Source organism: Homo sapiens, chromosome 6, assembly GCF_000001405.40.
Source record: "Homo sapiens chromosome 6, GRCh38.p14 Primary Assembly".
Taxonomy (NCBI): Eukaryota; Metazoa; Chordata; class Mammalia; order Primates; family Hominidae; genus Homo; species Homo sapiens.
This window is the reverse complement of record NC_000006.12, coordinates 83,160,807-83,173,710: the sequence shown is the minus strand read 5'-3', so window position 1 is coordinate 83,173,710 and position 12,904 is coordinate 83,160,807. Positions and strand designations below refer to the sequence as shown.

The window sequence follows — 12,904 nt, the reverse complement described above, 5'->3', positions numbered from 1 at the left end:
ACATGTGGGTTAGTTGGGGTTGGAGTGTCGTTTGGCTATGGAAAAGCAGTACTCAGGGTAGAGGAAAGCGATTCAATTATTTGAGTGTCTTGCACACACTGGACACTTTATATACCTTGCTGTGTAATCCTTACAGTAACACAGGGAGAGGTGTTACTGTAATTTCCATTTTATAAGTGAAGAAACAGAGATTTATCTTCAGTTATATCTTATACCAAAGCTCATATTTCTCCATTTTACCTTGATGCTTTCTATCAATCATTGTGGGGTAATATCTCAAAAGGGATCTATTTATAAAAAGAAAAATGAGTGATGGAATGTTAGGCTGAGCCTTAGAGTTATCCAGTCTAATTTCATTTTATAAATAAGGAGTACTAAAGGCAAGTTTCTCAAGAGCTAGTTTCAGTATTCTTTGTTATACCTTTCATTGTCTTCCACAGAGATCTTCACCTCATTGTTCGTATTTTATCCATCCACAAAAACACTTCATTTAATCATGCTGCATGTGAGAAAGCACATGATATAGGCTGAGTATCCCTTATCCAAAATGCATGGGACTAGAAGTGTTTTGGGTTCCAGATTCACTGGATTTTGGGATATTTGCATATATATAATGTGACATCTTGGGTATGGCACTCAAGTCGGAAACACTAAATTCTTTTGTTTCATGTATGTTACATAAGATTAAAGGTGGTTTTATAGAATACTGTAAATTTAGTGCATGAAACAAAGTTTGTGTCTACTGAACCATCAGAAAGCAAAGGTGTCACTCTGTCAGCCACCCGTTGGACAATCTGTGGTTGTCTGGCATCACCATCATTCCTAAAACTCTGAATTTATATGCTATCAATCAATAAGCAATCAATCATTTTTTTACACTTATTCACACACAAGTATTTTAATAGTAAAAAATATGATACATATCTGGCATGCATGGAAACGATGTATCATAGCTGAAGGAGGCTGAGAGGGTCTTTTTCCCTTGGGGATGCTGAATGAACTGCGGGCCTGCCTTTAGTGGGTTTTTTTTGTTGTTGTTGTTGTTTTGTTTTGAGATGGAGTCTCGCTCTGTTGCCCACGCTGGAGTGCAGTGGCGCAATCTTGGCTCACTGCAACCTCTGCCTCCCGGGCTCAAGCAATTCTCCTGCCTCAGCCTCCCGAGTAGATGGGATTACAGGCGCCCACTACCACACCTAGCTAATTTTTGTATTTTTAGTATAGATGGCGTTTTACCATGTTGGCCAGGCTGGTTTCAAATTCCTGACAGTGAGGTCAGGAGTGCATTTGTTTTTTATTAAGAGACAAGGTCTTGCTATGTTGCCCAGGCTGGAGTGCATTGGCTGTTCACAGGCATTATCACAGCACACTGCAGCCTCAAACTCCTAGCTTCAAGTAATCATCCCATCTCAGCCTCTCCTGAGTAGCTGGGACTGTAGGTGTATGCCACCACACCTGGCAGTTGTATACCCACATTTTGACCTGTCACAGGAGGCCAGGTGTGGAATTTTTCACTTGTGATTATTTTGGCACTCAGCATGTTTCAGATTCAGGTTGTTCAACCTGTACTGTGATTGGTTTTCTAAGAAAAAACATCCATTTCCAAGATTTGCTTGTGTTAAGTGGTTTCTTCCATTTGTTTCCCCATTTGCAGGCAGCTGGTGATGCTATTTCTGACATGCTGGTGATTGAAGCAATCTTGGCTCTGAAGGGCTTGACTGTACAACAGTGGGATGCTCTCTATACAGATCTTCCAAACAGACAACTTAAAGTTCAGGTGTGAGAGAAACTTTAAAGTAACTTTTTTGAATATTAGCTAAGTAAAACCTATTATCCCAATTCTCATTATATCTCACTGACATATGTTTCCTATTTCATTCTGTACATACACATATGATACATAGAAAATAAGGCCTTATGGGCCAAGCGCAGTAGCTCGTGGCTCATGCCTTTAATCCCAGCACTTTGGGAGGCCAAAGCGGGCGGATCATGAGGTCAAGGGATTGAGACCAGCCTGGCCAACATGGTAAAACCCTGTCTACTAAAAATACAAAAATTAGCTGGGCGTGGTGGCACACACCTGTAGTCCCAGCTACTTGGGAGGCTGAGGCAGGAGAATCACTTGAACCTGGGAGGCAGAGGTTGCAGTGAGCCGAGATTATGCCATTGCACTCTGGCCTGGCGACAGAGCGAGACTCCGTCTCAAAACAAAAAAAGAAGGCCTTATGATACCTAATTGTATTCTCTTACAGCTGAAAAAAAAATTATAGAATAACTAAGTTCATTTACTTAACATTCTATTGTCTGTGAAGTATTTGGTTTCCAACTTTATGATATAATAAATAATATGAATGACGCATCACTTTTTTAAAGAGATTTTATTATGGAAAATTAAAAATAGATATAAAAAAATTAAAAATAGATATAAATGTAGAGAAACAACATAATGAACTTTTGTGTACCCAGCTTCAACAGATTTCAATTATTGCCCTATACATTCTTCATACCCCCTCCCAATACTCTTTTGTATATTTTATTTAGAGACGAGATCTCACTATGTTGCCTAGGCTGGTCTTGAACTCCTGAGCTCAGGTGATCCTTCTCCCTTGGCCTCCCAAAGTGCTAGGATTACAGGTGTGAGCTACTGCACCTGGCCCCAACATTATTTTGAAGCAAAACTCAGATGCCCTGTCATTTCAAGTGAAAGTACTTACTCTGCATTATGTTTAGTTCACAGAGTACTTCCTGAGGGAGAGAATTCAGATAAATTGCTAATTGATTTCTGTACATGTTTATGCCAGTTTACACATTCACCAACAGAATTTGTGAAAGACAATTGGAGGTACTAAAGCCACAGTTCACAGAAATGGCTGATTGTTCAGATTATTTTTGGCATATTTAAGAAATTCTTATCGGTCTTCTTATATAATGGGCTACCACTTATCCTGTTTTTGTGTGTGATATGGGACTTAGTCATATCGTATTTACTGGCCATTATCTTAGTGGTAACTCTAAGCATTTGTGGAAATATTTTTTGCCAAAGGTAATTCTTTATAGACTGAAGAAAAAGAGAAAAGTTGCACAAATGTTGAAATTAATTACCCTGACCTTGGAGAAAGAAGTTTTAATGTAATTTTATATTTAGTCTGGCACTTTTCGTAGAATGTATGTTTAACAGGTTAAGCTTCTGAAAGGAAGTGTAATAGAGTAACAAATATGAAATGCTTGCACTTAGGTTGCAGACAGGAGAGTTATTAGCACTACCGATGCTGAAAGACAAGCAGTTACACCCCCAGGATTACAGGAGGCAATCAATGACCTGGTGAAGAAGTACAAGCTTTCTCGAGCTTTTGTCCGGCCCTCTGGTACAGAAGATGTCGTCCGAGTATATGCAGAAGCAGACTCACAAGTAAGCTGGGATAGTTCTATTGAAAAAGAGCCTAATATTAGGTGATGGGCAGGCAAACTATTTTAATGGTTTTTAGAATCTCACTATGATGATTAAGGCTTTATTTTGTTGAGCCTTTTAGGTTCACATTAAGACTACAAAATTATTTTCACCAGCAGTAATTATACAATTTAACAAAATTAGACCCACTTAGTTTATTTCCCCAAATATTTTTGACTTATTCTAGACTTCCTGAAAGTGTCATATTTTTAACCATGGCAGGAATAACTAATAAATACTTAGTTTATGCACTATAAGGTAGATGATCCTTTTCTCTTCTTTTAAAAATATACTCTTGTGACATGAAAACAACCAGCTTTGTAGTTCATTTCTAAGTCAACTGATAGCATTCTGGACTCTTGATTTGTTTTTCAAAATATTTCCTTTAAATGACAGCCTTACTCTGTGCCTGTTTCCCTGACAGGGGTCAAGACTTGTGGTCTGGATTTTTATTATTTGGCCTCTTCACATACTCCTTAAAGTGTGTGCAAAGCCAGGGCAAAGTACAGTGAGTGCGCTGAATAGGGAATCAGGAGGAGACATTTGGCAGCTTTCCTGCAGAAGCTTAAGCCATCTCAGAGTCTAATGAATATCCATGATGGATGAGGAGATGGCAACAGAGGCATTAGTACTTACTTACTGTTAGGCCAATTGTGGATTAAAGTTTTATTGAATTTTTTCAGTTGTGGAATGATAGCTATTTTTATAATCTGAATTGATTAAAAACTTACCTTATTTAGAAGAATTTGGTCTGTTTTCCGTTTATTTAAGGGCTTTGGAATTTGTTACTGAAAGATGAAAAAAGGTTTTCATTAGAATTTGTTAGTGAAACAAAATCAAGAATCACCCCTCTCTTCCCCAGAGTTCCAAGTAACATGGTCTTGCCCATGTTAGACACATGCTATGTCTTTCTCATCTAATCTCTTTTAATGTAATTTGCAGGAAAGTGCAGATCACCTTGCACATGAAGTGAGCTTGGCAGTATTTCAGCTGGCTGGAGGAATTGGAGAAAGGCCCCAACCAGGTTTCTGAAGATAATTTTCATATTCCTGAGAAACTGGACTTTTTACAAGTCTTTACAAAACTGTCAATAATAATGGCAGTACTAAGAGATTTATAATCATAATGTTTACAATGCAGCCTACTGGATTGTCTCTAGATCTGTTTTTCTTAAACACTAACAGAATAATTCTTTATAAATAGGTAAGCCTTACACTTGTTAAAGAAATTTACCTCTAATTTCAGTCTCACTAATGTAAAATACTGGGACTTAAGTATACAATTCAGTCACTAACTGTACAGTTTTATGTGGGGAACAATTCATGCAGGCTACTGGAAAATTAAATCTTATTACCAACTCCTTGTGATATCTTTGCCATCACCATCACATGAGCAAGATGATGTTTTGCAGCATTCCCCATTGCTGATACAAATGGAGAGGGCAGAGAAGACTTTATACAACCAGTTTTTCCATTGCAGAGTCTTAAGAAAGATTATTAGATGACTTACCTATATGACTAATGCCATCAGGAACTCAGAGGTATGAATAGGGGGTTGTCCATCCCTCTTCCATACTGAGGTGGAGATGCTCATGCAATACTTTTAAGGATGCATGGTCCAGCCTTCAGTTATTCTTCACTGCTCTTGGTGAAGGTATGTGGGAGAAAAACTAATTATAATACGTTTCCCAGCCTCTGATGGAGAAGGAACACCATTCTGATACCAGAACATGGTTAATAAGGAAAAGAGAAAAATCCCCAACCAATCTTAATTGAACCAAGTCTGAAACCAATGGAAAAAAAAAATGGGTAGTGTATATTTTGCAGGTTTAAGACAACTCAGGACAATAAAAACAATGGACTTTACATGTGTATATATATAGCTCTCTTAGGCACCATAATCAGTATGAGCCAACAATATTTAAACTTGATTCAGGCCACATTCAGACATTTGCTCTTATATACAAATATTTAAATTAAATACAATCTGAAATGTGTTCTGTTACATACAAAAAAGGAAAAACTATACAACGCAGAGCAGTGTGTGTGTTTTAAATAATTACATTTACATGTAAGCTAAATGGAACCAGCAATGGTGCTCAAGTTTTTATCATCCCTTCCAGAAAATCTTTTTCTACCATCTCTTCTATTTTTTGCCTGGCTTTGCTGGAACATGGTTTGTGGTTCTCCAGTTTCATGTCCTTATTAGGGAAGGCATTTGAGTAGAGGATAGGACTCCCTGAGTGTCCTCCACATCGGCTTGTGACTTTGCTGTTGAAGACTTGACTGAGCACATTGAAGAACGGCAGGAGCTGCTCCATACTGCGCACGGTGCAGATGGTGAGCAGCAAGTGCCCTGGCTCCCAACCCAATGTTCTCCCTGAGTTGTCTTCCTCTGGATTTTTCTGCAGAAAACAAAAAGTGAACTGGTATTAATACAACAGACAATGTGGTATGTTAGAAAAATTAAAAATATATAAACTTTGGCAATTGGTCAAGAAATGAATACAAATGACATTAAGTTTCTAACTCCTGACCTGATCAAAACCCTTGGTGCTTCTGAGACCTTTTACTGCCATTTATTAGTTTTACATGGAGCAGTCTAACATTGTAGTAATAGTTCCCAACTAGAATGCGCAGATAAGCTTAGTTAACAGAAATAGCTTTGAACAGGAATAGAGTCAAACATAAAAGTTTTATGTTGTGCTTTGTATTTACTCAAAAAGCTCCCAGGTTTCTGAACCCTCACTACTGTAACCAAGGACTAGGTCACAAAATTACTACAGAAAAAAGGAACAAAGTGCTTTATACATTTCATAATATATCCCCTTTTATTATAATTAGTTAATTCCCTTTTATCTAAATGGCCTAAATTTGCCATGATGGTAGCAGTGTCCAAAGTGAATAATTACTGTCAGTACTGCATCACAGAGAAAGGAAGGGATCCCTCAGGAGACACTGCTGTCTCCTTCTGGGTTGTGCTAAACAACATAGGGAGGAAAGCTGGACCTGGAGTCAAAGGAATTGAGTTAGTGTGCTGGCTCTGCCATACTTACGGCACCCTTGGGCAGGATATACAAAGGTTCCTCACTTATAAAATGGGACAGTCTAAAACTACCTTTTAGTAGAGAAGTCAAATGAGAAGGTATGTGAAAACTCTGTCAACTAAATATAAAGACTAATAATTTGGGTATTAAGAGGCTAGTTTGAGAAGCCACCTGAATTACACAAACACAGCTACAGACATCATTCTGTCTAGAGAAAGATAAGAGAGAACAGGTTGGTTGAACTTGGGCAGAATCACAGATACAATTCCACACTAAAGAATGAAAATAAGCAATGAACTAGACAGAAGGAAGAAATCATGAAGACTTAGGAAGCAGAATTACAATCTGTCATATTAACAAATGGAGTTTGCCTTCTAAGATCAGATGTTGCTCAGAAACTTTCATTGTTTACCTAATAATTTAATATCACTAGTTTCCTAGTGGGTCAAGCAGATGCAAAATCCAGCTTATTTTCTTCTATGTGCTCTCAAGCTTATTGCTTATTTTAAAGTAAAATCCTGAAAAAGGAAAATATTAGGTTGGTGCAAACGTAATTGCGGTTTTTGCATTGTTGAAATTTGCCGTTTTATATTGGAGTACATTCTTAAATAAATGTGGTTATGTTATACATCATTTTAAGCATATTTCTCACTTTTTTTTTGCTAATGACTTATTGCTGTTTATATTTATTTTAGACTATGGAAATGATGTTAGACAAAAATCAAATTTAGCGATTTTCTGAGTTCAAAATAGGTTATAAAGCAGCAGAGACAACACACAACATCAACAATGCATTTGGCCCAGGAACTGCTAATGAACATACAGTGCCGTGATGGCTCAAGAAGTTTTGCAAAGGAGACTAGAGCCTTGAAGATGAGGAGTGCAGTGGCCAGTCATCGGAAATTGATAATGACCAATTGAGAACATCATCGAAGCTGATCCTCTTACAACTATAAGAGAGCTGCCCAAGAACTCAATGTTGACCATTTTATGGTCGTTCGGCATTTGAAGCAAATTGAAAAGGTGAAAAAGCTCAATAAATGGGTGCCTCATGAGCTGAGTGAAAAATAAAAAAATTCGTTGTTTTGAAGTGTCATTTTCTCTATTCTATGCAACAATAATGAATCATTTCTCTATCGGATTGTGATGTGTGCCAAAAGGTGGATTTTATACGACAACTGGCGATGACCAGCTCAGTGGCTGGACTGAAAGAAGCTCCAAAGCACTTCCCAAAGCCAAACTTGCTCCAAAAAATGGTCATGGTCATTGTTTGGTGGTTTGCTGCCAGTCTGATCCACTACAGCTTTCTGAATCCAGGTGAAACCATTACATCTGATAAGTATGCTCAGCAAATCAATGAGATGCACCAAAAACTGCAATGCCTGCAGCCGGCATTGGCCACCAGAAAGGGCCCAATTCTTTTCACGACAACACTGGGCCGCACGTTGCACAACCAACGCTTCGAAAATTGAACTAATTGGGCTATGAAGTTTTGCCTCATCTGCCATATTCACCTGACCTCTTGCCAACAAACTACCACTTCTTTAGGCATCTCAGCAACGTTTTGCAGGGAAATTGCTTCCACAACTAGCAGGACACAGAAAATGCTTTCCAAGAGTTCGTCAAATTTGGAAGCATGGATTTTTATGCTACAGGAGTAAACAAACTTATTTCTCATTGGCAAAAATGTGTTGATTGTAATGGTTCCTATTTTAATTAATAAAGATTTGTGTGAACCTAGTTATAATGACTTAAAATTCATGGTCCCAAACAGCAATTACTTTTGCACCAAACTAAAAATATAAGTTAAAATGGAAGAGTCTAGGAGCAAACCAAGAAAAGATCACCTACTTCATCATCTCTGGTCAAAAACAAACCAAAAAACTTAACAGCTATCACTTAAGTTTGCTTCCTAGCAATTATTTAGCTTCCAGTCTAGATTACAGGATATATAAAACTTTCTTTCTTTCTTTCTTAACTATGACACTGGCACCAATGAGAGTCCTGTGACTGACTTTCACATTTCCACCATTACTCAATTACTGGTACCATACCACCTCTAATCCCCTAAATCAAACTGCAATTCAACAATAAAGGGCGTACAGAGATGACTTTGTCCTGAAGGAAAATGAATATCCTTGTACCCTCTATATAGCTAACTTCCAAATGTAAGAGAACTATGGGGTAACCTTTTGTTTCTATTCCTATCAAGATGAGCCTTTAAGAGAGGGACTTTTATTAAGCTCTTGACCAAGAAGAATACACTTGATTCAGAGTTTCTGATGCTCTTAATCAGAACTATATGTATTGTCTCAATATTAAATAAAGTCAAATGTTTCCATACAAATGATTTCTCCTTTGACTTCACCAGTCCACACTTGAAAAAAGACTTCCTTCCTGTTTACCTCCCTTGTACTTGTTGACATTCAGACCTGGGTTTGTGTCTCAATATTTGGCAACTTTTGCTGCCATATCATAAGCATGAAACAGCCACCCTCACCTGATGCTTGGCCATCTCCAATCCCTCCAAAATCACTGTCTTAAAGTCCTCCTCCTTGTCCTGTGGAAGGAAAGAGGAGAACTCACAGCCTTTGTTCCAGTGAAAAGTATGCTTGGCCATGAAGACCTTGTTTAAGGTGATTTGGATGGGAAGATGCCTTTCAATCAAAATAGTTTTCTTATTCTGTGGGACAAATTTTGGGCAAAAGACTGTCATATTTATTATTTAGATAAAGGAGGGGGGTCTTATAAAAATTCTCATTACTAATGAAAGGCAGGCATAACAGAAAAGGACATGTGCCTGGGGTCATATTTGCTTCTGGATTTGTCATGATTACTTGCCCAAACTCTGAGATATCAAATTGAAAGTACCAAAGTCCTACCCTGAACTCAGGACCCAGCATACATCCTCATCTCTGTCCTTTTATTAAGCCCCTACAGAAGCAACTAGGAATTTAAGTCAAGTTTTCTCATGTAAATTCCTTCCAGCAAAATCTCTTTAATCACTTTCTTCATTCCATTTTTATAGTTATGGAATTCAGTTTAAGAGCTGCTGCCTGATTAGGAGGACTCCAGAAGACTGGAAAATTTCTGAGCACTCAAAGCACACACTGCATACTAGATCTCACCAGACAACCTAGATCACTCCCAAATTGTACAATTTGATTTTGAAATTTGTTGAATGTAAAAGAAAATTTGACAAAAGGTTAATAACAAAGGCCCAATGGTGAGCATACCAGTTTCATTGCTGGTAGGTTCTTGGGCAAAGATCTGTAATAAATTAGCATGATGCATACTGAAAGATAAAAAGTATATAAGACAATATTTTACAAATTTTATTTTCCTACACTTTTTAATGGTATATGTTTTAAGTAAATTCCCACTTTTCCCCTTAAATAATTTCTCTAAGAAGATGCTTTATATTAAAGAGTCATAAAGCCAGTTTAACTCTGAGCACTGTTTTAAAAACTGCAGGTTGTGGGGGTCTTGCAATCTGTACTCAGCATCATCACTGTGAACTACAAAAAGGAAAATATCTCATGTTAAGGGCAAGAACTGTTTTGTGAAACTTTAGATTCGGTTATATAGCTGTACTGGATCAGGATAAGGAACACATTTCTGAATGTAGGTTATAATCAGAAAGTGAAAAATACTTAGAAAATGAATTTTAGCATATATATTTTATTTCATATAGATAAACAGAATGAATGCTAATGATTATTTCCTTTATTCTGATCGAGGTCTAGCTCATTCAATTTCAATGAAATCTGACTCATATTTTACAAATTTAAAATGTATAATCTTCTTACCCATTGATTAGTTCTGTTGAAACAACTCTGACAGGTTCTAAAAATCCCTTTTGTACTGTATTTTTTTCAATCAACTCATACTTTTGTTTGTCATCATGGCATTAAGATGAACATTATATTACATTCTCAAGTTTTTGACACGAAGAGTGTTCAGGACTACAGTCTTAAATACTCACATGTATGGTTCCAAGGTTTTTATTTTCTTTTTTGAGGGGAAAACATTTTAAGGTAGATGTTATTAATGTACAAAAGCCTTCCTTTTTCTTCTTTAAAAAAATGAATAACCGCATATTCCTTTAAAATACATACGATATGTTTTCTAATGTCTGGAAATATGAGGCTTATGGACATTAACTCTCAAAACTGGGGACTTGTTTTCAAAATAGCTCAACTTGATAACGTTCTCAGTTTCCCAGGAAGTATTTAATAAATACCTCACTAATGCAACATGTAGTGATGTAAAACAAAACAATCACAAAAGAATGCGATACCTTTGCTCTTTTCCGAAGAAGTTTTGCTAGTCGTACCACGTAAGGTTTAAATTCTCGTTGATGTATACCCTGCCTTCTGACTTCCAAACCTGAATCATCTGAGGCTTCTGGAATAAAGGCCCATCGGTACCTATGTATAGAATAATGACATCAGCATCAGTAAGACAGACTTTGTGCCATCTAAGATTAGGCCACATAATGTAGTAGAAAGATCATGACCCCACTGCTTATAAAAATTCAAATGCCAGATGTGCCACTCGTAGCCTTGTCACTTTGGGTATGTTTCTTAACCTCTCTGAGCCTTCATCAGTAAATAAAGATACTATTAACTACCTCATAAGGTTGTAAGGAATAAATATGAAAACTTGTAAAGTACTCATCATTACTTTTTTCATGAGTCCAAAGCAAGTACTCAACAAATGTTTCTTTTCTCATTAGCGAACAGGCATAAGGTTCTTAAAAGGAAGATGTTTTCATTTAGCTTATCTCTTTGTACTGCAACATAACAGTCTGACAAAGACTTGATTTTTCAACATATAACTGGCCAAATGTTCCCTAGTTGCATAGTAAAGGAGTAAAAAATTGAACGAATTTAAGAAAACTAAGGGCTTTTTTTGCACTTCTCTTGTATTTTTGTTTGTAATTTTGTCTTTCATAAGTAAGTAAAAGTAATATCCGACCATGGGAAAAATTCAAACAGTATAAATGGGCATACCAAAGAAAGGCAGTCTCCCCTCCCCGCATAGGATTCATCAATGTTGTCAGCTTCGTAAGTCCGTCCAGAGAGTTTATGCCCAAAAGAGTATATATTCACACAACCAACCCTCTCTTTTAAAAAAACATGATTGCTGCCTGTTTTAATTATACATGTAGGATATATATTTTTGATATAATTTATTTGATATAAATTACATATCTTGGAGACAATTCTGCATCATATAAAACTTCATTCTTTTTAACAGCAACATAGTAGTACACCACAGCCAATGTCCTAGATTGTCCAACTTCTTGCACTTACAAAGTACCACAGTGGATACTCTTAAGTAATGCTTATTTATTTTTGTGCACATCTGAGAATATAGAGACAGGATAAATCCTTGGATGTAGCAGAATTATAGGCTTAAAGATATATATTTTAAATTTTGGTAAATATAACCTCTGAACAATTGGACAATATCAGTGTATACTTCCAACAAGAATAAGAATGCTTCTGTTACTAAAAGTAAAAGGAAAGCAACTTTCAGATCTTTACCATTCTGATGGTTATCTATAATTTTAATCGGAAACTCAGGAGAACAACTGAGCAGTTTTTCCTATGTTTAGAAACCATCCTATAAATTATTAACTGTCTTGCTCATTGGCTCATTTTTCTACCAGGTTATTTTTATACATTATGCATTTTAGACTTTTGTCATATACATCGAAAATATCTTTTACCAATTCATTGCTATCTTTCGAACTTTATAGTACCTTTTAGTTACATGGATACTTTTAAATTTATATACAGTAAACTTATCAAGTATTTTGAACTTTCCAAATATGGATCATGCTAAGATATTACTCTTTCAAGATAATTAAAATCTTTACACTTTCTACTTTATAGATTTTTATTTTTAGAAAGATGTAAGTTTTTAAAAAACTAATTAATATAACGGCATGTTTCCTTCCCTTTTGTAGTAACTAACATCTTGACAAAGAGGATAAACTGATTTTGGTTCTTGTCATGGAAGATAAAAAGTCAGTATCATGAGCATACTATTTCATGTCCCTCCAAAAGCACCACAGAATAGTTATCACTTTTGTGAAGGTAAGTGTCTTGGTTAATATTGGCCACATTCCTACGATTCTGTTTAGTATTCTTTTCTGGACTTCCTTAGGAGTAACATCTGTGTAACAGATACCCAACAACTGAAATTCATCAAAAAGTAGATATATATATATATATGGTTTTCAAGTAGAAGAGAAAATTAAAGGAACTAGAATGACTCTAAAAGTAATTTCTAGTTCTTACCATTAAGTTTAATGAAAAGTAAGCTTGTAAAATAGCAAATTTTGGAGCATGTCCAAATAAAAAAGAGAAAAAGCTCAGTAGCATACTCTTTATCCTATTATT

The 12,904-nt window shown here is 36.3% G+C and overlaps 2 protein-coding genes across 67 annotated transcripts in view; one reads left to right on the top strand and one right to left on the bottom strand.

Moving 5' to 3' along the window:
- The window catches only part of PGM3 (phosphoglucomutase 3), a 45,196-nt gene that overhangs the window by 20,190 nt on the left and 12,102 nt on the right, over window positions 1–12,904 (top strand). For 5 of the 17 annotated variants that reach the window (XR_007059270.1, XR_007059271.1, XR_942480.3 and 2 more), the window contains 4 exons: window positions 1,652–1,774; window positions 3,233–3,406; window positions 4,388–4,469; window positions 12,469–12,598. Coding sequence is in view for 10 of the 17 variants with exons in the window: in XM_047418876.1 (XP_047274832.1) it covers window positions 1,652–1,774; window positions 3,233–3,406; window positions 4,388–4,469; window positions 7,245–7,324 (459 nt within the window). In the remaining 7 variants the exon portion in view is untranslated. Of the gene's footprint in view, window positions 1–1,651; window positions 1,775–3,232; window positions 3,411–4,387; window positions 12,599–12,904 lie in introns of those variants that run through there. The other 12 variants (XM_047418876.1, XM_017010935.2, NM_001199919.2 and 9 more) reach the window with 6 other exon arrangements.
- DOP1A (DOP1 leucine zipper like protein A) overlaps window positions 2,361–12,904 on the bottom strand; it is a 103,680-nt gene continuing 93,136 nt past the window's right edge. For 18 of the 50 annotated variants that reach the window (XM_017010559.2, XM_017010572.2, XM_017010571.2 and 15 more), the window contains 5 exons: window positions 10,792–10,921; window positions 8,992–9,051; window positions 4,955–5,849; window positions 4,177–4,233; window positions 2,361–3,422 (listed from right to left, as the gene is read on the bottom strand). In XM_017010559.2, the coding sequence (XP_016866048.1) occupies window positions 5,544–5,849; window positions 8,992–9,051; window positions 10,792–10,921 (496 nt within the window). In that variant the 3' untranslated portion in view covers window positions 2,361–3,422; window positions 4,177–4,233; window positions 4,955–5,543. Of the gene's footprint in view, window positions 3,423–4,176; window positions 5,850–8,991; window positions 9,052–10,791; window positions 10,922–12,904 lie in introns of those variants that run through there. The other 32 variants (NR_169791.1, XM_017010564.2, XM_047418448.1 and 29 more) reach the window with 5 other exon arrangements.